Here is a 2,010-nt window from a genome sequence, read left to right as displayed (position 1 = left end):
AGCACTTTGGGAGGCCGAAGCAGGCGGATCATGAGGTCAGGAGATTGAGACCATCCTGGCTAACACGGTGAAACCCCATCTCTACTAAAAATACAAAAACTTAGCTGGGCGTGGTGGCGGGCACCTGTAGTCCCAGCTACTCGGGAGGCTGAGGCAGGAGAATGGCATGAACCCAGGAGGCGGAATTTGCAGTGAGCCGAGATCGCGCCACTGCACTCCAGCCTGGGTGACAGAGCGAGACTCCGTCTAAAAACAACAACAACAAAAAAAATTAGGCAACGTGGCTCACACCTATAATCCCAACACTTTGGGAGGCTGAGGCAGGAGGATCGCTTGAGCCCAGGAGTTTGAGACCAGCTTGGGCAACGTTATGAGACCCCATTTCTACGAAAATTAAAAATTAGACATGGTGGCGTGCACCTGTAGTCTCAGCTACTCAAGAGGCTGAAGTGGAAGGATTGCTTGAGCCCGGGAGGTGGAGGCTGCAGAAAGCTGTGACCGCACTACTGCACTCCAGCCCGGGTGACAGAGCAAGACCCTGTCTCAGGAAAAAAAAAAACAAAAAAACAGCCACTGAGGATTGAGGAGCTTGAGGGAAATGGTCCAGGAAACAGAGGTGAAGACTAGCAGACAATTGGGGATTAGTGGTTGTCCTGTGACATTATAATATTAATAAGCATCCCTGAAGCCACCCAGGCTTGGCCAACAATTGTATGAATTATAATTGGAAGAAACCAGAGTAAAGATAGGTCTGACATCAGGACAAATGAAAGATGAGCCAACGACTGCCAATGGCCTTTGCCAGCAATGCTGTTCAGTGCGGTCTACACAACATCTGCTCCGACTCAGTGCGTTGGCCTCAGTTGATGCTCCTATTTCCAGGACCCCACGCCCTTGGGATATTCCTCGAACCCTGCTGGAGAAGAAGCTCGCCCGTTTCTTGATGTGGCGCTACTTTTCCGGCCTTAGGGAGTAAGCAAATTCATCAGAAGCCATTGCCTCACATTTCAGAGTCACCAGAGTCAAACTGGGGCTAACGAAGGTAGGTGGCTTGCTAAAAGTCACAGTCAAAGGCAGGGATGACAGCCAGGCCTTCAGTTATGCTAGCCCATGCACTTTCTCCAGCATTCCCTTGCCTCCCTCAGGAATCCCCGGGCCCCTAGCTAGCAGGTGAAGCTGGTTCCTGTACGGACCTTTCCTGCTGTGCACCATCACCGCCCATCTCACCCTAGAGGAGGCCTGCTGAGCATTTGCTTTAACAGCAGCCGTTACTCACGGGTAAGGAGCAGGTCACCTCGCAGCCCCACAGGAGCTGAGGTCAATCTTGCCTGCATCCCAGCCACACTGCCTCGTGCGACCTTCGGGAGACACGCATTAGCTCATTCACTCAACGAACACTGCCGAGTGCCTACTGTGGTGCCGGGTCCTGTGCTGAGGATACTTGAGGGAGAGAAAAGAGTTTGTAATCCCTGCTGTCAGGGCGCCTCCAGGTTAGAGGCAGAAATACTAACTGAATCATCTCGCTAATGAATATCCTATTACAAACTGAAATAGGTGCTCCAAAGAGCAGGAACACAGTTCAACAAATGCTATGTTAGAGGGGCCTGACCTGGAGGGCTGCTGGTGGGAAGAGGGGTCCCTGGGCTGGAACCTGGAGGAGGAGGGGGAGTTAACTGGCTGAGTGGAGACAGAAGAGCCTGGGCAACCCCACCCTTTGTGGACGACTGAGCAAGAGATATTCTCTGCAGGCGCGAGGGGCAGGGATTCACGATTTGTTCTGGGGGTGCCTGGGTGCAGACCGAGGCCGACAATTCAGTCGCCACACAAGAGGTCAGAAATATACTCGCTTCTTTCTCTTCTTTTCAGCACGATGGTGGCACAAGAGCTTCTTAGGAAACCCTCACCTTTCAAAAACAGTGATTACAGAAACTATGACACTGCAGATGTTTGTCAGAGCCACTGACACTCACCGAAGCTCAGGGGGCCCACGCAGAGGGAGACCACAGCACA

General features: G+C 52.3%; 1 annotated feature.

Annotated features, from left to right (window-relative positions):
- Positions 1,001-1,501: an enhancer, noted in NCBI's record as "H3K4me1 hESC enhancer chr9:129648667-129649167 (GRCh37/hg19 assembly coordinates)". NCBI's record gives its function as "activates a minimal SCP1, AML or CMV promoter by ChIP-STARR-seq in naive H9 embryonic stem cells {active_cell/tissue: H9 hESC(naive)}" and the evidence as "EXISTENCE:reporter gene assay evidence [ECO:0000049][PMID:30033119]".

The sequence above is a fragment of the Homo sapiens genome, chromosome 9 (genome assembly GCF_000001405.40).
Source record: "Homo sapiens chromosome 9, GRCh38.p14 Primary Assembly".
Classification (NCBI taxonomy): Eukaryota; Metazoa; Chordata; class Mammalia; order Primates; family Hominidae; genus Homo; species Homo sapiens.
Note: the sequence above shows the minus strand (reverse complement) of the source record. Positions and strands in the feature narration are given on the sequence as shown.